The sequence below is a fragment of the Homo sapiens genome, chromosome 16 (assembly GCF_000001405.40).
Source record: "Homo sapiens chromosome 16, GRCh38.p14 Primary Assembly".
Lineage (NCBI taxonomy): Eukaryota > Metazoa > Chordata > Mammalia > Primates > Hominidae > Homo > Homo sapiens.
Genome location: NC_000016.10, coordinates 10,851,212 through 10,875,349, shown reverse-complemented (window position 1 = coordinate 10,875,349; position 24,138 = coordinate 10,851,212). Strand labels below are relative to the sequence as shown.

Genomic DNA, 24,138 nt, shown 5'->3' with positions numbered 1-24,138 from the left:
TTGACAAATAAGAAATGCTGAGTCAATTTGAAACAGCCTTGCTTAGTGGGGCTAACAAACGGATATGGTGAATGTCAGAAATTCTAAGAATGACCAGGCACAGTGGCTCATGCCTGTAATCCTAGTCCTTTGGGAGGCTGAGGTGGGCAGATCATTTGAGGTCAGGAGTTGAAGACCAGCCTGGCCAACGTGGCAAAATCCTTTCTCTACTAAAAATACAAAAATTAGCCTGGGCGTGATGGTGCGTGTGCTACTCGGGAGACTGAGGGATGAGAATCACATGAACCCGGGAGGTGGAGGTTGCAGTGAGCTTAGATAGTGCCACTGCACTCAAGCGTGGGTGACAGAGTGAGACTCAGTCTCAAAAAAAAGAAAAAAAAAGAAAGAAATTCTAAGAAGTCTCATTATCCTATGACCTGGTGCCACGGGAGAGGCGCCTCTGACTGCTCAGCTGTCTTGAGGTCCCATATGGGGGTCCCTTTATGTTCTCAGAGACAGCTGGTTCTGATGTCCCCCCATCCCACCCTCAGACCGATGGCCAAGGCAGCTTTGGAACTTAGAATGGGCCAGCCAGGACTACCATCTCTCACCTGGGTGACTGCAGCTGCCTGGTACATCTTCCCTGTACCAGAGGTTCGTTTCAGTACCACCTTCCTCATCTACATCTTCCCTGACTCCTCCAGACCCAGTTCTTGTCCACAAGACCTGAACCTGACCATGCCTGTGTCGGTGCAGGTCTCTGAGCAGAGCAAGTGACATCCGTCAAACTGTGTGTTTGACTGATGGCAGAGGATGCACTTTGGCACCTGAAGGCACCAGGGTAGAGAGTCTACAGATGAGTGGCAGTGGTACCCAGCCAGGAGCTGAGGCACACCTGGATTTCAGCTGTGGCAGGTGAGGGTGTGGGGATGGAGAGGGAGGGGGCCGGATGTCTCAGAGGCAGAATGACAACCTCTAGCACTGAGTGAATGGGGGCAAAGAGCACGAGGAGGAATGAAGCCCACCCCAGGCTTCCTCTCTGTTGAAACACCTGCATCCTTGTTCCTGCCTCTTAAAGACTCCTGCAGGCCGGGCGTGGTGGCTCACGCCTGTAATCTCAACACTTTAGGAGACTGAGGCGGGCGGATCACCTGAGGTCAGGAATTCGAAACCAGCCTGGCCAACATGGTGAAACCCTGTCTCTACTAAAAATAGAAAAATTATCCAGGTGTGGTGGTGCACGCCTGTAATCCCAGTTACTTGGGAGGCTGAGGCAGGAGAATTGCTTGAACCTGGGGGAGGTGGAGGTTGCAAGTGAGCCGAGATCACACCACTGCACTCCAGCCTGGGCTTCAGAGCGAGACTCTATTTCAAAAAATCAAAAACAAAAACAAAACACAACAAAACACAACAACAGCAACAACAAAAAACTCTTGCAGAGGTGATGAGGATTCCCCGAGCCCAGGTCTGCTTGGGACAAAGTCAGTTCTCTCCTGAGACGGGACCCCTGTCAGGAGAGGTGCTGCTGAAGCCGGTCTTACCCTAGGGATCTGAATTTATTTGTCTCGAGTCAGAAACTAGCATGCCAGCAACCACTAGCACCCAGCAGAACCATCATTAAGGTTGCCATGCTGGGGTCCCCTGGCAAGTCCCAGGGAGAGATGGGGAGTAACTAGGTCTTCCAAGTAAAGAACAGTTGTTCTGGAAAAATTGCCGGTCCTTGCTGCAGTCTCCCAAAACAGATTCTGCTCAGTCCTACCTTTGCACCTTGGTTCCCTGCAAGCCAAGGAAGAATGCTGGGAGCTTGCTCCCTCCCGGTGCTGCTCTCCTGCCTTCTCCCTTTTGGTCTATATTTTAGCCATCCTGCAAAGCTCGAGTTCCCACCTTCATCGCGCTTCCAGCTAACTATAATTTTCTTGCTTTGCTGTGTTTTACAAAACTTGCTGCAACATTATTTGGCAATACAACTTTAACTTTCAAGTTCATAAGCATCATCTCTGCTACCTCTGATTAGATCATACATCTGTTAATGTCTAGGATCAGGTCTTTAATTTTCTGCACTTACCCCAATACCTACACAAGACTGAGCATTTGAAAGACACATTATCAGGCGAGGTGCAGTGGCACACTGCACTTTGGGAGGCTAAGGCAGGTATGTCGCTTGAGCCCAGAAGTTTGAGACCAGCCGTGGGAAACATAGCGAGACCTCATCTCTACCACAAATAAAAAAATTAGCCGGGCATAGTGGTGCATGCCTGTAGTCCCAGCTACTTGGGAGGCTGAGATGGGAGGATGTCTTGAGCCCAGGAGATTGAGGCTGTAGTGAGCTGTGATTGCGCCACTGTGCTCCAGCCTTGGCGACAGAGCAAGACCCTGTCTCAAAAAATAAAATAAAATAATAAAATAGAAGATACACTATTCTAAGACCATTTGAAGGAATGAATGGAGTTTTAGATTTGAATGATCAAGGCAGCCTCCAGTTCCAAATGGATGAAGATTCCTCCCCTACTAGGTTAAAAGTCCTTCTTCATCTCATGCTTTTTGGTGAAAGAGCACTGGATGGGGAGTCCACCATAATTTCTAGCAGGTGCTAAATAAATGATTCAGGAGAAGGAAAGAAAGGAGGCAAGAAAGGGAGAGAAAGAGATCGGTGAATAGGGAGATAGGTGAGTAGAATACAACTGCTATGTATCCAAATTAGGGAGGGACATGGGAGGGTGTATGAGAACCTGGACCTGCTGATGGATTGTTGTAAAGGGGGCTTAGCTGGTAGGAATGCAGGGAAATACTTTGACATGTAAATACATGGGAAATATATGGGTGATTAGGTAGGTAGAGAAATGGATTAACTGATAAGTAGACATGAGTAAATAAGTGTATAAGTATGTAGACAGTAGATATAAATAGATAAATTGAGAAGTAGATTACCACCATAAGACAGGGCGAGAGGCTGGGCACAGTGGCTCACGCCTATAATCCCAGCATTTTGGGAAGCTGAGATGGGTGGATTGCTTGAGGTCAGGAGTTTGAGACCAGCCTGGCCAACATGATGAAACCCTGTCTCTACTAAAAATATAAAAATTAGCTCGGCATGGTGGCAGGCGCCTGTAATCCTAGCTACTCGGGAGGCTGAGGCAGGAGAATTGCTTGAATCTGGGAGGCAGAGGTTATAATGAGCTGAGATCACGCCACTGCATTCCAGCCTGGGCTACAAAGCAAGACTGTGTCCCCCCCACCCAAAAAAAATTAAAAAAAAGACAGGGTGAGAATAATGATAATAATAATAAAAAGAAGTAGATATAGGAAGGTAGGTACACAGATCAGGAAAGTTGGAGGGCAGGCAGGTAGGTGGATGGGAAAGTAGACAGTAAGGAACGCAGGTGAACTGCTCAAGGTCATAGCAACAGAGAACAGAAACCGTGACTGGTTGGAGAAGTGCCAGGCTTGGGGGCAAGCTGTGTTTGGAACAGGCTGGCCTGGGAAAACCCATGGGGAAATGCCAGCTTCCGGGTACAGGTGTGTCTCCTTCTGTGGTTCCTGGGGTAGAGGGCCAGAGAAGCAGTCCAAGATGAAAGGCACGAGTCTTCCTCGCCAACACATCCCCCTCCCTGAGGCAAAGGAGACTCCCAAAATCAGAACAGGGGCTGGTTCTCAGGAAAGGAAGCCCAGAAGGTGAGAGGGCACAGCCTCTCTCCTCTCTGGTGTGTCACAGCTCTGGTTTCTCACATCCTAAGGGCCAGATGGGGAAGGAAGCTGGAGGAAGGGAGCTTAGCGATCCCTAAGGGTGGGGTGTTCCTCCCTTTCCAATAAATCAGGCGACTTCCCAGAGGGAGCCTTTGTTCTGTCATTCCTAGAACTGAGACCTCATGGGCAAAAATGTCACGCAATGAAATCAGAACAACAAAAACAACCAACAAAGTAGAGTCAGAGGAATCAATAAAATGTAAGACCCTGGCAGGGGTGCCCTACAGCCTCTGAGAAAGTATGCAAAATGGGCCCCTTTGTGCCTCGCATTCCATGGTCAAACCCAAGGCCAGCTGAGGTTGCCCCCACTTACAGTCATCTTTCCACCATGCACGTTGGGCTTGTGGTTGCCTCAGACGCCAGCCTCAAGGCTGAGTCAGAACCAGCTTCCTCTTGCAGGGAGTGTATGGGGCTTACACTGAATGGTGTCCCTGAGCCCTTAGATCAGTGACTCTGAATGCTATTATCATCTCCACTTTATAGATGGGGAAACTGAGGCGGGGCGCCCGGGAAGTGCTCAAAGTCATACCTCTTGGAATTGGGAAGGCAGGACAGGCACTCAGGCTGTCTGAGGACATGGCCCATGTGCCAGTTCAACTCGAGGGCAGGGGCCACATTGATTTGTTTCTCAAATATGCACAGTACCCAAGCACTCAGCACTGCATTTTGCATGGGGTAGGTGTCTAGATATTGTCTGGGGCCCCCAGACTGCAGTAATTATTTTTCTTGGTGCCTCAAACCCCTGGTTTATCTTCTTCCTGTTCCATTCTCCTTGCTGTTAGACTCAGAGTGGTCTGATATTTATACAGTGCGACCTAATGCCAAGCACTGCCTTGGAAGGTTTCTACCTACCATCTCATTTAACCCTCACTAGAGCCCTGGGAGATTCGTATCATTGCTCCCATTTCAGAGATGAAGAAACTGAGATTCCGAGTGGTCTAGTCATGTGGCCAAGGTCACATGGTACGTAAGGAGCAGAACATGGCTTCAGATCCAGAGCTGTCCAGCTGTCCAGCCTCCAGCCTGGTTCTTTTTCCATCATCACCCATCCTAGCTCCCCCTTCTTTGGCCTCTGATAGATGTTGTTCAGATGTTGTGACCCACTGTTGACCAGGGACTGCCTAAATGTTTGCTTTAACTTCCCACTGAGGCACCTGAGTTCCTCCAGGGCAAGGACTTTGACTCTTGGGACTCACTGGAACTTTCCTGGGGCTGGATGCACACAGGTTGCTCAGTGTAGCACAGAGCGAAACCCCTAAGCTCCCATCTCCAGAACTGGGCTTTCTGCACAATTGCACCTAAGGCACTGCAATATCTGAAGGGGACTTCTGAATCATCAGGCTGGTTTCAGTTTGAAGACTGCCACCCTATTTGGGGTAGATTTACGGTAGCCCCTTGGGTTGTTTAGAAGAGGAAGCTAAAGCAGTACTTTTTTTTTTTTTTTTTTTTTTTTTTTTGCAGGAAGTACTGCAATTGGCCAGGACTCATGAGACCCCATAGTCTCCCTCCTCAGGTCATGACCAGAGGCAAATCATTAACTTCTCTGTGCCTCAGTTTACTCATTGGTAAAGTAGGAATAATGGCATTACATGAACTATCCATTCATCCATCTACCCACTCATCAACGCATCCATCCACTGAACATTCAACAAATATATATTGCATACCTACCCTGTGCTCAGGCCCTGTGCTAGGTATTTGGGACATATTGTGATCAAAACATAGATCCATGTCCATGTGGAGTTTATTTTCCAGTGGGAGGGTCAAACAATAAACAACACACACGTAATACAAAAGTAAGATATACAGAAGGTGGGGAGCCAGGCGCAGTGGCTCATGCCTGTTATCCCAGTACTTTGTGGGGTGGGCGGATCACTTGATGTCAGGAGTTCAAGACCAGCCTGGCCAACTTGGAGAAACCCTGTCTCTAAAAATACAAAAATTAGCCAGGCATAGTGGCACAAACCTGTAATCCCAGCTATTTGGGAGGCTGAGGCATGAGAACTGCATGAACCTGGGAGATGGAAGTTGCAGTGAGCTGAGATCTCACCACTGCACTCCAGGCTGGGCGATAGAGCAAGACTCTGTATCAAAAAAAAAAAAAGTGGGGAAAAAATCAATCTGGGGAGGGGGCTCAGAGTGTGGAGGGAGGAGTTGCAATTCTAAATGGCTTGGTCAGGGCAGGCTTCATTGATAAGGTGCAAAGAATAGAAGGAATTTAGGAGGTTGACCAAGAAAATGCTTAGAGAACAGTGCTCCAGGCAGAGGGAACGGCATGTGCAAAGGTTCTGAGGCAGACAGTGTGCTGAGCGTGTCTAAGGAACAGCGAGGGTGCCAACATGGCTGGAGTAGATGAACAAGGCAGACAGGAGTAGGGGATGAGAGCAGGGAGCTGATGAGGTAGGAAAGGCCTTGTGGGCCATTGTCCAGATTTAGCTTTTTCTCTGAGTAACGTGGGAGCCAGTGCAGCGTTTAGCACAGCAGAGGGCCAAGGTCATTATAGAGTGGTTGAGAGGGAGGGTCACAAAAACCCCACATGGATGATTTCCTTTTCCGAACCCCCATCAAAATGAAAGTCAGTGCCCTTTGTTTACAAACCATGCAATTCTCTTGCCCTGTCCTCTTTCTTCCCCTCTGAGAGCTGCCCAGCAGCAGCACACCTGCCCACTGTCGCAGGTCAAGCCTGGCAGCCCTGGAGGGAAGCTGGCTGGAGGGCAGAAAGAGAAAGCAGGAAAAGAGCAACTTGCCCTGCACCCCTCCCAGCTCCCCGAAGACCACACTGGGCCCCGAGTGCAGTTCCACTTTCTGGAGTCACGTGGGATCAGAAATAAATATATTACCTCCCGAGGGAGGAAACAGAGTTAAATAACAGGAACCAGCACTCTCGGAAAGAGGGGGTGGGAGGGGCTGAAGTGTCCGGCAGTGAAGGCACATGTGGCTGGGGCAGGAGGGGCTGCAGCCAGGGAGAGAGGAAGGTTCTGGCTTCTCCCCCAGGTGGCATCTGTGCCACCATCAAGACCACACTGGCTGTCTGCGCCCCTGTTGAGAAGCCAAGGGAGAATGTTTGGGTGGTAAAGATGCCCCTTTGCCTAGGTGACTGTTAGGAGGAAGAGAATTAAAGAGGAGTCCAATAGACGATGGAAACCACTTGGGTGAGAATTTGACCACAAGAAGAACCAGCCCTGTAGAAATGTTGTCTTGGCAGGAAAGCTGGTAAACAACACTGCCCTGGTGCCCAAGATAAGGCCGCCAAAATGCATTTGATGCCCTGAAGGCTAAGTTGAAGATCAAAGCTTGTCTGTCTTCAAATCCAGTCTTCACCGCTTCCCACCTGGGGGACCTGGGCAAGTTGCGTCACCCCTGGGCAGAGTCTGTTTTCTTCTTTAAGTGTTAAATAAGGATGGGGATCAAAGGGCTCAAGGTCAAGGGAGAAGTAAGAGGGTTCTAGATTGCGCTTAGGCTGTTTCTGGCACACTAAATAATCAATGTCAATCACTGTTATTCTCTCAAGACTTGCATTTCAGAAGGAGATGGAACAAACACCGTCTTTAGAAAGTTATGACCAGGTTGGGTGTGGTGGCTCATGCCTGTAAGCCCAGCAATTTGGGAGGCCAAGGTGGGAGGATCGCTTGAGCTCAGGGGTTCGCAAGCAGCCTGGTCAACATAGTGAGACCTCATCTCTACAAAAAATAATTAAAAAAAAATTAGCCAGGCATAGTGGTGCATGCCTGTAGTCCCAGCTAGTTGGGAGGCTGAGGTGGGAGGATCACTTAAGCACCGCAAATGGAGGCTGTAGTGAGCTGTGATCATGCGACTACACTCCAGCCTGGGCAAGAGAACAGACCCCGTCTCAAAAAAAGAAAGAAAGTTGTGACATTACAATGAAGGGAGGACTTCTTTGTAAGTGGGTAGGAGACGTAAAAAGTTGGAGGAGCCAAGGATGTGAGTGGAAAGAGGACAGTGCAGGCTTGTCTTTCTGGTTTGAGATGATTGTGTGCCACCAACGCTCTTAAAAATAAGGCCTTCATTCTCTCTCCCGTAAGCGAGTTCTTATTCTCTCTTTCTCTCTCTTTCTTTCCCCCACCTTCTCCCTTTTTCTCTTCCTCCATCAGCCTCCACCTTCCTTCCTCTCCCTCCCTTTTCTCCCTGTCTCTGCCTGTCTCTCTGTCTCTTTCTGTGTCTGTCTTTCTCTCCCTTCCTTTCTCGCTCTCCCTCTGTCTTTCGGTTTCTGTCTCTGTGTGTCACACAGACACACACATGCACACACAAGCAAATGCATGCAAACGCACACATGCCCCCCCCCAACACACACAGTGGGCTCTGCTTTCAGCTTTTTCTCTGGCTCCTCCTTTCTCTGCACCCCATTTCTCTATTTTTTTTTTTGAGATGGAGTCTTGCTCTGTTGCCCAGACTGGAGTGCAGTAGCGTGATCTCGGCTCATTGCAACCTCTGCCTTCCCAGTTCAAGCAATTCTCCTGCCTCAGCCTCCTGAGTAGCTGGGACTACAGGCACCCACCAGGATGTCTGGCTGTTTTTTGTATTTTTTAGTAGAGACAGGGTTTTGCCATGTTGGCCAGGCTGGTGTCGAACTGATCTCAGGTGATCCACCTGCCTTGGCCTCCCAAAATGCTGGGATTACAGGCGTGAGCCAGTGCACCCGGCCCCATTTCTCTCATTTTGACTCACACTGATTGTGCCTGCATCCATCTTCCCCACTAGACAGCAGACCCCTTTGAAGGCAGGAGCTGATCTGTCCATCCATGCCCCGTTAATGTTGGTGTATCGTCAGGGCTCAGGGAGTGAACCCAAGCAGGCATTTGGCTGCGTGCCCCTGGGATGGTTCCTTCCAGCAGAGTGGGAAGCACGCCGTTCGCTCCAGCACACCCAGCAACAGAGACAGTGCTCCAAGTTTTCACTGCTCCTGCCAGCTCACTAGACACTTGGATTTCTCACCAGTCTGCCTTCCCATTGACTTCCCTTTCAGAGAGGAGGGAAAATCCTTGAGCTGTCTACAGTCTGTCATTTCTCCTTGATTAAAAGTGATGCCAACTTACCACCATGGTCACTGTGGCCGGGGCCCCTCTCGGCTGCTGGGGGCTGCAGCCCACTCCGGGCCCACCCCAGGAGGGCCAAATCCAGGTCTCCTTTCTCTAGTAGGGTCAAAGAGATCTTCCTGGCCAGAGCCTCACTATCAGGCTCATGGAGCAGAGTGCAGTGGTATTCCCTGGAGAGGAGGTCCTCCTTCAGCAGGTTGTCCAAGAGGGCCTGCACCAGGCTGGGCTGATGGCTGGAGAGCAGCATTCTCACCTGAGTCAGGATGGCCTGGAAGTTGTTCATGGCAGCCCTTGGAGTCAGGGCAGCTGCCCTGGCCAGTGCCTGGAATCTCCGCTCACCCAGCATGCAGCATCCAAAACATGAAGTGAAAACCAGGACGAGGGAACCTCTGCAATTTATTACAGTTTATTTCTACTTAGGAAGATTTCCTCTTTTGCGTTGTAGGCTGGGGTTCCTGATGAACGGATGGATATTGGCTTTTGGGTTGATTCAGACTCCACAGATATTCTCTGGGTCCTACCCAGGTGCATGTGCCAGAGAAGCCCACAGCCTTCTGTTGGAGCCAATCTAGTATTGCTAAGAGGAAGGCGACATGCCTCCTTAGAGGACCTATAGGGTAATAGGTCTTTTCAGATGTTTTACCATAGCAAGAAGGCATTGTGGTATAGAGGTTAAGCAAATAGGCTTGGAGCTAATCTGCCTATGTTCAAGTCCCAGATCTGCTGCTCCTTGCCAATTATGTGACTTTGGGCATGTTACATAGCCTTTTTTTTTTTTTTGACAGGGTCTTGCTCTGTTGCCCAGGCTGGTGTGCAGTGGCGTGATCATAACTCACTGCAGCCTCAACTTCCCAGGCTCAAACAAACCTCCCATCTCTGTTTCCCAGTAGCTGGGACTACAGACTCACACCATCATGCCCCGCTAATTTTTTATTTTTTTATTTTTAGTAGAGACAGGGTCTCACTCTGTTTCCCAGGCTGGTCTTGAATTCCTGGGCTCAAGTGATCCTCTTGCCTCAGTCTCCCAAAGTACTGGGATTACAAGTGTGAGCCACCACGCCTGCCTTACTTAGCATTTTTAGTCTCTGTTAACAGTACTTACATGATAGGGTTGTTGGGAGGATTAAATGAGATAACATAAATAGAGTCCCTAGTGCATTATCTACAACATGATAATAATACAATAAATATGAACCATCATTATTATTGATTAATCATGCAAATTACTATCACCCTGAGTTTAACCTCACAAATCCTCAGTCTCCTCCTCTGCAAAATTTCCCACTAAAAGCAATCGAAGCTCATATGCATTTAAGGGTCTCTACACTGGACCTAGTAAGCACTTAACGAACACTGACTATTTGTTAATACTATCCCCAACTTACTAATGCACAAAACAGAGGATTTGCATAGAAGCCAGTCTGGTTTATGATTCTAAAAATCCCCAACCCAGTTTTAAAGAACCATAGGCGACTGTTCTCCTGCCCATTCTGTAACATGCCGTGACTTTGTTTCCTTCCAGACTCAGGATTACCATCTCTCAGCTGGGGCCATTTGCATTATTCATTTAAATGAGACAAAGGATTTCCATTTCCAGTGTGGCTGACCAGCTCCCATATGATCAACGCTACCACAGGTAACAACTATAAACTCTGGGGAGAATATAAAAAACAACTATCTGAAGGCACTGGAGAGTGACAGGCCAGGCAGATACTGGAAGGGAGTCAATATATGGAAAATGAGAACTTCACAGGTGAATTTCCCAGTTCATGAGTTTAGTCTGAAGGCAAGTTCCAATCAGTGCTGTGCAGGGCAGTTAAGACTTCATGCCTGTGGTCCCAGCTACTTGGAAGGCTGAGGTGGGAGGAGCACTTGAGCCTGGAGAGGTTGAGGTTGCAGTAGGCTATGATAGTGCCACTGCACTTTAGCCTGGGCAACAGAGTCAGACTCTATCTCAAAAAAAAAAAAAAAAAAAAAAAAGAAAGGTTTACTGCCCTTTATAATCAGAGGATAGAATTTGGGGCAAAAATACCTACTGGAAAGTAGAAATCCCAGACAGAGAAGGAGAAAGGAGTAGCCCAAATTCTGTATATAATTGTCTAAATATCTGGCTGGCTTCTGGACCATGTATATATTCGTAGGTCAGACTCCAAGCAGCTCAGCTAAGGCTAAATAAGCTGAACGAAGATTTGAGCTGCAATGGGTGTAGGGGTAGGAGATTTTGCATTTGATTCCAGCCAAGTTATGTCCCTACTGAAATAAAACCCAAAAATATTAATGCTGTTCAGATTATAACAGAATCCAGAGTGTTTACAACATATCCCTAATGTCCTGTGTTCAATACAAAATTACTTGACATAGGCCGGGCGCGGTGGCTCATGCCTGTAATCCCAGCACTTTGGGAGGCCAAGGCGGGTGGATCACGAGGTCAGGAGTTCAGGAACAGCCTGGTCAACATGGTGAAACCCCATCTCTACTAAAAATACAAAAATTAGACAGGCGTGGTTGCAGGTGCCTGTAATCCCAGCTACTCGGGAGGCTGAGGCAGAGAATTGCTTGAACCCAGGGGGCAGAAGTTGCAGTGAGCCGAGATTGCGCCACTGCACTCCAGCCTGGGTGACAGAGCAAGACTCCATCTCAAAAATAAATAAATAAATAAATAAAAACAAAATTAGTTGACATATAAAGAAACAGGAAAAAGGTAACATTTTCAAGAGAAAAAGACAATCAGTGAAAACTGGCCTCAAGATGATGCTGATGTTGAAATTAGCAGACAATGATTTTTAAAGCTGTGATTATAACCATGGAGGAAAAAGACATCTAAGATGTAAAGGAAAATATCCTCATCAAAACCAAATATCGTATGTTCTCACTTGTAAGTGGGAGCTAAATTATGAGGATGCAAAGGCATAAGAATGATATAATGGACTTTGGGGACTGGGGGAAGTGTTGGGGTGGGGCAGGGATAAAAGATTACACATTGGGTACAGTGTACACTGCTCAGGTGGTGGCTGCACCAAAATCTCAGAAGTCACCACTAAAGAACTTACCCATGTAACTAAAAACCACCTGTTTCCCCCAAAACTATTGAAATTTTAAAAAGTAGAAAATGGGGACAAAAGATATGGTGTGACTGTGGAAGACTAGTCAAAGAGATACAATGTTACTGGCTTCAGAGATGAAGGAAGGAAGTCACAAGCCAAGGTATGTGAGTAGCTTCTAGAAGCTTGAAAAACCGCAGAAATAGATTTTCTCCTACAACCTTTGGAAGGGAATCAAATTCACCTTGATTTTAGCCCGTTGATACCCATGTAAGACTTATACAGTAATGGTAAGAAAATAAATTAGTGTTGTTTTAAGCAAAAAAAAAAAAAAAAAAAAGAAAGAAAAGAAAAAAGAAAAATAGCCAAGGAATACAGATTTGAGAAGCTTAGCAAATCTAAGTAGGATAAATACAAGAAAACCACACCTAGGCACATAATAGCCAAACTGTTGAAAATCAAAGCTAAAAAGATACTCGTGAAAGCAGCCAGTTCAAAATAACACAGTACATATAGAACACCTGAATGATCACCGACTTCTTGTTTGAAACCATGGCGGCTGGAAGACTGTGGAAGAATATCTTAGAAGAGATAAGATTTTAAAATATGTTCATCCTGAGTTCTACATTCAGTGCAAATATCCCTCAAGAACGCAGACAGAAATAGACATTTTCAGATAAAAGAAAACTAAAAGGATAGGTTGCAGGAGATCTGCATTACAAGATGATGAAACAACAAACAGTGGGTGCACAGAGCCAGGGACAAGGATCTGCTGTCGTAATCACTTAATAAGTCTGCTTTGATTGTTCCTATCAATCCAGTGGCCACTTGCCATGTGCTTAGTCAAGAAAACCTGGGTGCCAGCCTCCACTTGGCCACTGACTCACTGTGCCTGGCAAGAAACTTCCTCTCTCTGGACCACAATGTCGTCACCCATGAAACACATAGGTTGGATTACATGATCCCCAGGATTTTTCACTTCTGAAATACTACAGTTTCCAGGGAGGTGTTACCTAGTTGCAGAACCCACTGGTCTTGAGCTCAGCAATATTCCCCTGCAATTAATCACCAGTGTATTACTTCTCCCATCTTTACTTATTCAGAGCTCCCTGCATAATTTTTTTTCTCCTCCAAATCACATGCAATCTGTACTATTATTTACCTAATATTTTGTTTTACTCTGTCTTACTGATTTAATTTGTTTTAAAAGGAAATTTCCTATCTTTATCACAATTGGAAAGCCAGTATCCCTTGTGCAAGAATAGTAGGCAACTGTAACAAAAAAACCCATGCAGAATGGAAAATGATAATATGAAAGTTTAGATTTCAGTTTCCTCGAGTTTCTGATCCTGGGGACCTATCTCCTTTTGTGACAAAAGGTAGTTAGCAAGTGTTAGAAAGGTATTAAAGATAGAGTAGCACCAAGCTAAAGCTCTCTTGCATCAGCAGATAAGTAAAAATGTTAAGGGTATAGAAAAATGGGAATTCTACTTTGTTGGAGAGCATGTAGAATGGTGTAATTGCTTAGGGTAGTAATTTGGTAATGCCTACAAAATCATTAAATAATACTCAGGATTTCCACTCTTCAGTATATATGCCAGAAAAATTCTTACACATGGGCATTATGAGACACAAAGCAGGTTTGTTTGTGCTAGAAAAAAAAAGAGAAAGAAATAAAAATCACCGTAAGAATAGATAGAAATGTCTTATAAACATTCTGGAGTTCGTATGCCTTTAACCAATTAAACTTAATAGACTTAATCAAAGTGTAGGAAGTTGATGTTTGTTAAAATAAAGTTATTCAAATAAATTACACATTGGGACAGTGAGTGAGTTTTAAAGGTTTAATAGTTGAATCTTTTATCATCTTCTCTCCTTCTGTTTCATCATAGTATAGTGTTACATGTAAAAGTGAATCCATAAGCTATGACCTGGGACTGCTACATTTCTAAGAAGAGACCCTTAACACAGGTTGCTAAAGGTACAACATTCAGATATAGGTATTCTAGAGTCTTCTCCTCATGAGCTCAGCTGCTAGTACAATCTCCACACCAATGGTAGCATTGGTCATCTATGATTACCAACCTGTAATTCCTTCCAGAATCATCATAAGTTATTTGCCATCAGGGCTCTCTGTGACTGCTCTTCCACAAAAAACTGGTCATTTTAAAGAAAATACTGTTCATCTTTTTTTTTCTTTCTTTCTGATTCAGGATCTCACTCCGTTGTCCAGGCTGGAATGCAGTGGTGCAATCATGGTTCATTGTAACCTCAACCTTCTGAGCTCAAGTGATCCTCCCACCTCAGCCTCTTCCCGTGTAGCTGGGAGTGTGCCACCATGCTTGGGTAATTTTTAAATTTTGTGTAGAAATAGGGTCTCACAACGTTGCCCAGGTTGGTCTCGAATTCCTGGCTTCCAGCGATTCTCCTGCCTCAGCCTCCCAAAGGACTGGGATTACAGGTGAGAGCCACTGCACTCAGCCTAGCCATTATTCTTTATAACTTTTTTGTTGTTGTTGTTGAGACGGAGTTTGGCTCTTTTTGCCCAGGCTGGAGTGCAATGGCATGATCTCGGCTCGCTGCAAACTCCGCCTCCTGGGTTCAAGTGATTATCCTGCCTCAGCCTCTGGAGTAGCTGGGATTACAGGCACGTGCCACCATGCCTAGCTAATTTTGTATTTTTAGTAGAGACAGGGTTTCACCATTTTAGCCAGGCTGATCTCAAACTCCTGATCCGCCTGCCTCGGTCTCCCAAAGTACTGGAATTACACGCGTGAGCCACTGCATCTGGCCTTTATTCTTTATAAGTTTTTATATGTCTAAAGAATCCTATTAGATTGAGTCATATAAAACTGCTGATATTTGTTTGTTTTAGATTCATAAAAATTGCTGTTTCATATGGTGTAACCTAATATAATGATGAAGATGATGATGATTGAGAGGGGGCTTTCTTACTAAGTGATTGGTTGTTATTTAACACCTATGGGTGAACCCCTTTTCCCTTAGTTATCTGCCTGCCAGAAGGGTGACACAGAAACCACACTTTGGGAAACACCAGTTTAGTGCTTGGTGTCATGGTTCTGTTACCAATCAAGATCTGGGTCTTGACTCTGAAGACACTAGGGGCCCTGGGGATGAGAAGCTTGGAGCCTGAGGCTGAAAGCAGGGAAAAGAGAGGGTGCTGAGGGATCTGTTGAGAGGGGCAGTGAAGTTGGTTACATGTAAAATGCCCAGGCTCTATTTCCCCAGTTCACGGCTAGGAGCTTAGGTGGTCCTTGACGTCACCTACCTGTTGGGTGGGGGGCAACTGGCTTCTCTAGTTCCTGCTCCTCCAGCTGGAAATCAATGATGATATAATTTTAAAAATTCAGATATCATTTCTTGAGTGAGAATACTGGGGAGTTAGATGCTTTCTGTATATGATCTTATCATCACCAAAAATAATTCAAGGAAAGCATCAATCATCTTACTCTATGGATGCGGCTAAGGTGTAAGTTACAGAACCTGGGCCAGACCCTGCGTTCCTGGGAGGAACACTGGGCTGCAGATTTTGAAAAGGAGAAGAGGGCTGGGAACACAGCATCTGCTGGAGTGGCTACTTCCCCTTGAGAGGAAGAGGATCAGCTCCCTGGATCTATGGGCACGTCCAGGCTGGCCCCTGTGGCTGCTGCCTGTCTGCCCACAGACCAGGTTGTTGCATCTCAGCCTGAGTCACCTTGGCTGCTGCTCAGGGCTGTGGACTGCTACCTTTGCTTTTTGGGTTTCCCTGCAAGACATATGGAGTTCACTCCTGGCTTATGACTGAAAGCAGTGGGGAGAGTGGGTGGCGTGTCGTCTACAGGATGACATCACCACCTCCGTCATCACCACCTCCATCATCACCACCACCATCATCACCATCACCATCATCACCACCACTATCGTCACCACCACCATCACCATCATCACCACCATCATCATCACCACCACCATCACCACCGCTATCGTCACCACCATCACCACCACCATCACCACCACCACCATCATCACCATCACCGCCACCATCACCACCATCGCCACCATCACCACCATCATCACCATCACCACCACCATCACCACCACCATCATCATCACCACCACCAACACCACCACCATCAACATCACCACCAACATCACTACCATCACCACCACCATCACCACCACCATCACCACCATCATTATCACCACCACCATTGCCACCATCACCATCATCACCACAACCATCACCACCGTCATCACCACCACCATCACCGCCATCACCACCATCACTACCACCATCATGACCATCATCATCACCAACACCATCACCACCACCACTATCACCACCACCACCACCATCACCACCACCATCACCACCACCACCACCACCACCATCATCACCACCATCATCATCACCACCACTGTCATCACCACCATCATCACCACCACCATTCCTGCCACCTTTATCAGTATTCTTCTATTTTTCTGAGAGAGAGTCTTGGTCTGTCACCCAGGCTGGAGTGCAGTGGCATGATCTCAGCTCACTGCAACCTCCGCCTCCCGGTTCAAGCGATTCTCCTGCCTTAGCCTCCTGAGTAGCTGGGATTACAGGCGTGCGCCATCACACTCTGCTAATTTTTGTATTTTTAGTAGAGACAGGGTTTCACCATGTTGGCCAGGCTGGTCTCAAACTCCTGGCCTCATGTAATCCACCCGCCTTGACCTCCCAAAGTGCTGCAATTACAGGTGTCGGCCACCGCGCCTGGCCATGTTGTTAGTATAAGTGGATTTGAATCCCTGCTTTATTACATATAAGCTTGAACATGCCCCCTTATAGCGCTATGTCTTAGTTTCCTCAACTGGGAAATGATGTTCATCATATGTTAGACTAGGCCTGGCGTGTAGTAGCCATCTAACAAACTCATTCATTTATTGAATAAATGAATCAACCCCAGTGGGGCACTAACAGAAACAGGGAAAACAATCATGAACAAAAAATCAAAGAAAAAAAAAAGAAAATTGCCAGTCTTATGCAGCTTACAGTCTTATTAGTTAAAGGTAAATCTGGGCCAGGTGTGGTGACTCACACCTGTAATCCTAACATCTCAGTGATCCTCCTTCCTCAGCCTTCCAAAGTCCTGGGATTATGGGTGTGAGCCACCATGCCTGGCCTGCTCTGAAGTTTTAGAAGACGTAGACTAAATAGTCAATGCAGACAAATTACATTTAGTAAACTAAGATCAAAATTTCCAGGTCAGAGTGCATTTTTTCTTTCCTTTGAAGTCTTATCAAGAGCACATTCAAGATAAATGTTCTCTTGAATAGAGATGCATATATACAAAGACATACACCTATCCTTAAGTATTACCTTTCCCATTTTCTCTGTTATTTACTTCTGAAACTCCAATTTGTTTTATGTTACACCTGTCTTCTATGTCTTTTAACATATCTCTTACATCTTTCTTCTTCAGAATTAGTGAATCAGAAAATCTACTAATTTACCATTTAATTTGTGTACTAAGTTTTCATTTTTAGTTATATTTTTCATTTCTAGAAGTCTTATTTTGTTCTTTGTAAAATTTACTCATTTAATTTTTATTTTTTGACAGAGTCTTGCGCTGTTGCCCAGGCTGGAGTGCAGTGGCGCAATCATAGCTCACTGCAGCCTCAACCTCCTGGGCTCGAGCAATTCTCCCACCTCAGCCTCCCAAGTAGCTGGACTACAAGCATGCACCACCATGTCTGGCTAATTTTTTAAATTTTTCTGTAAACATGGGGTCTCCCTATGTTGCCCAGGCTGGTCTCAAACTCTTGGGCGGCCTCCCAAAGTGTTGGAATTACAGGCATGAACCAATGTGTCCTGCCCAGTTGTTCTTTATAGTCCCTGTTCCCTGATTTTTTTTAAAGCTTCTCTGTTAATCTTCAAATAAATTCAGCATCTGATTTGAGTTGGTATTTGAAAATAAATAAATAAATAAAATAAATATATTCAGCAGTCTTCTAGTAAATGTTAAACAACTGTATCACTGTCTCTTTAAAAAAAAAAAATAGAAGCCCTAATTTAGAGTTTGCCAACCTCCGTGGTGTAAATATTCCCACCATGGACAATGTCAGGCTACCAATATGATATTGCTGCACGTGGAGTTGGGAAGAGATGCCCACAATCAGCTCTCCCGAGCTCCGCCAGCTGGCTTAAGCACATCTTTGATTTTACACATTTGTATCTCTATTCGGGTATCCGAAGTCTCTGGGTTTGTTTATTTGTCTTTTAGAGACTCTGCTGCCCAGGCTGGTGTGACCACTGCTCAATGAATTCCTCAGTTCGAATCCTTGAATTCCTGAGCTCAAGTAATCCTCCTGCCTCAGCCTCCAAAGTAGCTAGGATTATAGGCGCCTGCTACCATGCTCGGCTAATTTTTAAACTTTTTTGTAAAGATGGGGCCTCACTATTTTGCCCAGGCTGGTCTTGAACTGCTGGCCTAAAGTGATCCTTCCACCTTGACCTCCCAAAGTGGGAGGGAGCCACCGGGCCTGACCTCTGTGTTTACTGTCTATGGTTTCTATTTACTTCCACTCAAGATGCTATGCTTCTTTGCCTGTGTGTGTAATTTTTTTTTTTAATGTGAGCTCTTCATTTCTTTAGAACTTCATTGTAGGTGACCTTTGAATCCTGGAATAAAGTTAAATTCCATTAGAGAGGAGTTGACTCCACCTCTGCTAATCTTAAAGCACCCTACTTCCAGTTTATAACATCTTTATATTATTATTATTATTATTACTAGATAGCATGAATTCAGGTCACAAACCTGAGTAAGGACCCCTTTGTAATGACAAGTTCTCAGGTAAGATATTTTTCTTTTCCTACTTTCAACCCTAAGATTGGGACAGGCAAGTTTCAAAGCTGTTTCTCTGGTAGGGTTTAGCTCTTGCTCATTCTTACAGTGACAGTGTACTCCATTAGGGTTCTGCTGTATGCAGAAATCTACCATTAAATCTACCTGTGGACGGGTGCGGTGGCTCATGACTATAATCCCAGCACTTTGGGACACCGAGGCGGGCAGATCACTTGATCTCAGGAGATGGAGACCAGCCTGGGTAACATGGCGAAACCCTGTCTCTACAAAAAATACAAAAAAGTTAGCGAGGCTTGGTGGTGCCTGTAGTCCCAGCTACTTGGGAGGCTGAGGAGGGAGGATCACTTGAGCCCAGCAGGGTGAGGCTGCAGTGAATGTGAATGCACCACTGCACTCCAGCCTGGGTGATAGAGTGAGACCCTGTCTCAAAAAAACAGAAGCAAAACAAAAATTCTCACCTGAGTTCTCCTAGTATGCTCTACAGCTTTCAAAGGAGGAAGCTCAGGTTCTCTAGAGTTTGATAGGAACCTTCAGGAAAAAAAAAAACACCTTTACTGAGTGCTCACCAGCATTCTTAACTTCATGCCATTTGTAGGATCTAAGGAGCCTTATCTTTGTGCCAGACCAGCAATGTGTTTTATTTTTATATATTTATGTATATATTTTTTGAGACAGAGTCTTGCTGTGTTGCCCATGCTGGAGTGGAGTGGCACAATCTCGGCTCACTGCAACCTCCGACTCCCTGGTTCAAGCAATTCTCCTGCCTTAGCCTCCCGAGTAGCTGGTACTACAGGCATGCGCCATCACACCCAGCTGATTTTTTTGTATTTTTAGCAGTGGTGGGATTTTGCTATGTTGGCCTGGCTGGTCTCAAACTTTTGGCCTCAAGTGATCTGCCTGCTTTGGCCTCCCAAAGTGCTGGGATTACAGGCATGAACCACCATGCCTGGCCCACCAATGTGTTTTAAAATGGTTTTGTTTTTGTCTTTGTTTTGAGACAGAGTCTTCCTCTATTGCCCATGCTTGGGTGCAGTGATGTGATCATAGCTCACTGCAGCCTCCAACTCCTGGGCTCAAGCAATCCTCTCACCCTGGACTCCCAAAGTGGTGGGATTACAGGCATGAGCCCCTGCACCTGGCCTAAAAGGATGTTTTAAAATATTTTATCCAGCAGTTTAGTTGTTTCAGTGGGCAGAGAGAGTCATGAAAGTATCTAATCCTCCACAGTGGCAGAACTAGAAGTCCATTACCTTTAATATATAAATGACGTCAAGATGCATGAAATTTACTACACTATTTTCTCAGTCCTTTTCCTCCTCGAGCCCTCTATTGTCCTCACACTCTAAAAGGCATAATTTCTAGGAGTTGAGATAGCTGCTATAGTTGCCATAGGTCCTTCTGAAACTGTTTATGATAAACATGCATTAAATAAAAGGACTTCTCGGCCCGGCATGGTGGCTCATGCCTGTAATCCCAGCACTTTGGGAGACTGAGGTGGGTGGATCGCCTGAGGTCAGGAGTTCGAGACCAGCCTGGCCAACATGGTGAAACCCAGTCTCTACTAAAAATACGAAAAATTAGTTGGGTGTGGTGGCCTGCACCTGTAAACCCAGCTACTTGGGAGGCTGAGGCAGGAGAATCGCTTTAACCTGGGAAGTGGAGGTTGCAGTGAGCAGAGACTGCACCATTGCACTCTAGCCTGGGTAACAGAGTGAAACTCATCTCAAAAAAGAAACACTTCTCACGTAAAGATAAAGCGAATTAACTATGATGTGGCGATGTGGCTTCTGTCCTTCTACACATGCTCCAAAACAAATCCACTGGCTCTGAACTCAAGACCTGCTCATCTGCCTTTGTTCCCTGAGTCAGTGAATGATATTCCTTCCCGCCCGCTCCCGGGACAGCCAGGCGGGAGACCCGGAATCATCTTCCACCTTTACCATGACCTCCCACACCATGCAATCTGTTCCCAGGTCACTCGGTGATGTGTTCTTGGGATTTCTGGAGTCTCTTGTTCACCTCCATCCTTCATCCTCACCCAGCCTTAATTATCATCTGTAATTTTTGTTTTGTTTTGTTTTGTTTGAGACGAAGTCTCACTCTGTTGCCCAAGCTGGAGTGCAGTGGTGCTGTGTCAGCTCACTGCAGCCTCTGTCTCCTGCATTCAAGAGATTCTCCTGCCTCGGCCTCCCAAGAAGCTGGGATTACAGGTGTGCAGCCACCAAACCCAGCTAATTTTTTTTTTTTTTTTTGAGACGGAGTCTTGCTCTGTCACCTGGGCTGGAGTGCAGTGGTGCGATCTCGGCTCACTGCAACCTCCGCCTCCCGGGTTCACGCCATTCTCCTGCCTCAGCCTCCCGAGTAGCTGGGACTACAGGCGCCTGCCACCACGCCCGGCTCATTGTTTTGTATTTTTTAGTAGAGATGGGGTTTCACTGTGTTAGCCAGGATGGTCTCGATCTCCTGACTTCGTGATCCGCCCGCCTCGGCCTCCCAAAGTGCTGGGATTACAGGCGTGAGCCACTGCGCCCAGCCAATTTTTGTATTTTTAGTAGAGACGGGGTTTCATCGTGTTGTCCAGGCTGGTCTGGAACTCCTGACCTCAGGTGATCTGCCCCCTTCGGCCTCCCAAAGTGCTGGGATTACAGGCATGAGCCACGGCGCCCGGCCTATCATCTGTAATTTAAATTCTCTTCGTCACTTCTCATCTGAACCTGGCTCCCTACATGGTCTAAGCACATGACTTCACAGTTAGTCCTCCCAGCAATCCTATGTGGTAGGTACAATCATCATTCCCATTTTACAGATGAAGAAGCTGAGGCTCATCAAGCTTAAGTGAGGGTCCCAGGCTAGTCAGTGGTGGAGCCTGACTCCACACAGTGGTCTCATCTAGAGTCTCTATCGTAACCACCACTCTTGAAAGTTTGGCTGGGCATGGTGGCTCACACCTGTAATCCCAGCACTTTGGGAGGCCAAGGTGGGCGGATCACTTGAGGTCAGGAGTTCGAGACCAGCCTGGCCAACATGGCGAAACCCTGTCTCTACTGAAAATACAAGAATTAGCTGGGTGTGGTGGGGCGTGCCTGTAGTCCCAGCTACTCAGAAGGCTGAGGTACAAGAATTGCTTGAACCTGGGAGGTGGAGGTTGCAGTGAGCCAAGATCACACCACTGCACTCCAGCCTGGGTGACAGAGCAAGACTCTGTCTCAAATAATAGTAATAGTAATAGTAATAATAATAATAATAATAATATTTGTTTTCCTGCCTTCACCGTCATCCTCCGTGGCAGCTACAGGGATCTTTCTAAACTGCACCACTGGTCATGTCCCTCCTTATCGCAAAACCCTCCAGCAACGCTTCCCACTGCCTTGGATGAAGCGTCAGCTCTTCAGGACGGCTCTTTTCACCCACACAGGCTCATCCCCTATCACAGGAAATTGTTCCTACTTCATTCTATTCACTCTGCCTGCAACCTCACCACAGCCCAAACATGACATCAGAAAGGAAGCCATGTTCTCCTGTCCTTCTCAGACTCTGACACACTATTCTCTAACTGCACAGATTTCTCCTTCATTTTCCCTTGGTGAACTCCTACACATCTTTCAATACCCAGCCCAAATGTTACTTAGTGGAAGGCTTCGCTCACCTTCCTGCAGAACTGGTTATTGTGTCCTTTGCCCTATAATACCTTGGCAGGGGATTTTTTATCTTCAAGGATCATTAGTGCCAGAGAAAGACAGGTAAAAGCAAATCTAGTCAGAATGGGACTAAAACTTCATAGTAAATATTGAGGGGAAAAAGGATTTGATTATTTGATTGAGACTCTACCTTAAAAATGAAACTAAATGAAACTAAAATTTGTAGACATTATTCTGTCTTTAGCTAATGAAATTATAATTGCAAAACTGTACACATTTTTAGAATGAACAGAGTATGAAGCCAGGAGTGATGTATATTTTTTCTTTTAGGCATAATTTTCTGATAAAAAATTTGTTGGAACACATGATATGACCGTTTTCTGCAAGTTTCAGGCCATGATCACACAGAAAGGAAGTCATTTTTGCAAAAACGTTAGAAAGTACCACTAGTTTCCCAACGGGTCTTTCTTTGTCTTTTCATAATGAAATTATCTGTTTTAAGCGCCTGTCCAGTCTTCTTGTCAATTTCCTCTTCCTCAGTTGTTTCTTAGCCTAAGTCTACCAGATGCTTATTTGTTGATATCTTTGTGGGTGCATCATTTACATTGACTTCAGGAAATTCTGTAACTTGGCAAGGATGGCAGCTTCATTTTGCAAATGATTGCATACACTCAGAGACAGACAGACTAAAAGAGGGTGTTGATATGATGGTCAGAGCCAGACTAGGGTTCAAAAAGGAAGGTTCTGCTGGTCTGGAGTCTAGTTAATTCTATTGGACTGATGTCAATTTCCTGGTGCTAGTAATGCAATGTAGTTATGGGAGATGTTCCAGTTGGGAAGAGCTGGGTGAAAGATACACAATACCACTTGACACTCTTTTTGCAAGGTCACTTGAGTCTACAGTTATTTCAAAACAAAAAGTTAAAAATATTATAACAATAACTCACAGTCAAGAAGGGCCTAAGGAAAGGTGGAAATGAAATGCATAAGACCTAAACTTGGAAATTAAACTTACCTAAGACCAGATACTTTATTAAAACATTATTAAAATTTATTATGGATGAAGGGTGGGGGCCAGATAATGAACACTTGGATTTTCACTAAGTCCTTTCATGGAATTATAATTACTTATTTAACTGCCTGTCTTCGCCTCTTGGGACTGTGAGCTTCTTAATAGGTGGGAATGGGTCTTATTGACCTTCATGTTCCCAATGCCCATCATAGGGGCTGGCATTAGATTTAAACCCCTAGTAATGAATGAATGAATGAATGAATGAAGCCTCTGATTTGGTCTTGGCCTAGTTAAACCCTGGGAAAAACAGTGCCTATGGCTTCTCCTGTAATGGTGGCTATTGTTTGGGTTTCCATGGTAACAACAGTTGCTACAGGTTATGGAAACCCTGCTGGAAGGATTTACCTGCTATGATTCTGCCTTCTCTAAGCAGATGGTGTTTGTCCACCTACCTCTCCTACCCCCTGAATCAGCGAGGAGGGCTTGGGGAATTTCAGGAGTGGTATGTTTGGGAAAACGCAGTTTTGGGTGAAATCACCTCCATGGGCACCTGGAAAGTGACCTGTAGATAAGAATCAATTCTTCCTGTAGAGGCTGGATGCGGTGGCTCCTGCCTGTAATCCCAGCCCTTTGGGAGGCCGGGGCAGATCACCTGAGGTCAGGAGTTCGAGACCAGGCTGGCCAACATGGTGAAACCCTGTCTCTACTAAAAATACAAAAAGTTAGCTGGGCATGGTGGCACACGCCTGTAATCCCAGCTACTTGGGAGGCTGAGGTAGGAGAATTGCTTGAACCCAGGAGGCAGAGGTTGCAGTGAGC

General features: G+C 45.9%; 1 protein-coding gene across 10 annotated transcripts in view, besides 1 other annotated feature; it reads right to left on the bottom strand.

The window, feature by feature from the left end:
* Positions 1 to 9,144, bottom strand: part of CIITA (class II major histocompatibility complex transactivator) — a 76,816-nt gene extending 67,672 nt beyond the window's left edge. For 6 of the 10 annotated variants that reach the window (XR_001751904.2, XM_011522485.3, XM_011522484.4 and 3 more), the window contains exon 1: positions 8,778 to 9,144. Coding sequence is in view for 5 of the 10 variants with exons in the window: in XM_011522485.3 (XP_011520787.1) it covers positions 8,778 to 9,123 (346 nt within the window). In the remaining 5 variants the exon portion in view is untranslated. The remainder of the gene's footprint in view (positions 1 to 8,777) is intronic. The other 4 variants (XM_047434115.1, XM_047434118.1, XM_047434123.1 and 1 more) reach the window with 3 other exon arrangements.
* Positions 3,241 to 4,440: an enhancer, noted in NCBI's record as "BRD4-independent group 4 enhancer chr16:10964767-10965966 (GRCh37/hg19 assembly coordinates)". NCBI's record gives its function as "activates an origin of replication core promoter dependent on BRD2, P300/CBP, MED14 and CDK7 cofactors, and independent of BRD4, by STARR-seq in HCT116 cells {active_cell/tissue: HCT116}" and the evidence as "EXISTENCE:reporter gene assay evidence [ECO:0000049][PMID:35650434]".
* Positions 9,145 to 24,138: the final 14,994 nt, after the last annotated feature.